At 45.1% G+C, this 1,130-nt stretch overlaps 1 annotated feature.

The window, feature by feature from the left end:
* Nucleotides 677–846: an enhancer, noted in NCBI's record as "experimental_101278 CRE fragment used in MPRA reporter constructs". NCBI's record gives its function as "activates a minimal promoter by MPRAs in K562 erythroleukemia cells, with activity observed for both the introgressed and non-introgressed 8:134630402 variant alleles {active_cell/tissue: K562}" and the evidence as "EXISTENCE:reporter gene assay evidence [ECO:0000049][PMID:34662402]".

Consider the following 1,130-nt stretch of genomic DNA (forward strand, 5'->3'; position numbering starts at 1 on the left):
TCCTACACTGATTTACATGTGAGAAGACTGAGGCTCAAAGAGGTGAAGTGATTTGCTTATGTTAATGTAGCTAGTGGGTGGCCAAGCAGACTCCAGGCCTATTGAGCTCCCTGCCACCTTGCCTGTTTACCTCAGTGGCTTCCAGGGCAGTTCTGAGAAAAGCAGAAAGCAGATTTCTGTTTTATTTTCTTGGCATGAATTAATGTTTGTCTTGAGCCATAATGTGAGGACTGTTTCCAAATGGGTATACGTGCATACATACATGTGTTTGTGTATGTGTGTGTGCATGTGTGTGTGTAAAGACAGCATTGTTGAAGTGGTCCCAGCATGTCAGACACAACTATTCATCTTTATTTTGATTTCTAAATCTTCACCAAAGTAGGTTTTGACTACAGGACTCTGTTCCATGTTTTGCAAATGAACTGGTGATGGATATAAATGAATGTGTGTGTATGGGGCGGGGAGGGGGAGCGGGACGCACACACAAACACTCATGCAGGCTTTACCCATAGCCCTGTCTTGAGCATGAATAGGTTAAGAATAAAAGCATTCATTGCTCAGGGTGCTGCCTGAAATTCTGGAATGTTAGGAAATATGTTTACAGTTTACTCCTAGGTCCTGGATAGAACCCAGAAATAGGGCAGGCAAAGGAACCCAGCTTATGGTGAATGTCTTTCCACTCACCCACCCATCCATCCCCCAAACATTCACTGAGTACTCATATTCACCATACACTGAGCTGGGTGCTGGGGTATGAAGATAAGCCATACATAGTGCTGGTCTTTGCAGAGATTTGGAGCGATGAATATCAATACATCTGTGTGAGAAGTGCCCTGACTGTGTACAGGCACAATGGAAACTCCATGAGGACAGGCAGGGGCCTTCCCTTTCCAGCTCACCTCTGTGTCTCTCATAACTGGTATAGTCCTGGGGACACAGAAGGCCCTCATAAGTATGCTGTATGGTGAGTGTGAGGGTGGCGCTGTGTTGACTTAGGGAATCAGGGAGTGGAGGGAAGTTAGCTAATACAGAAGCCTATGAGCTAATAAGCTTAGCTAATAAGAAGCTGGGTACCCATTCATTCATCCGTCCATCCATTCATTCACTCTTCATACCCTCAGGTGTTAACT

This window comes from Homo sapiens, chromosome 8, assembly GCF_000001405.40.
Source record: "Homo sapiens chromosome 8, GRCh38.p14 Primary Assembly".
In the NCBI taxonomy this organism is placed as follows: Eukaryota; Metazoa; Chordata; class Mammalia; order Primates; family Hominidae; genus Homo; species Homo sapiens.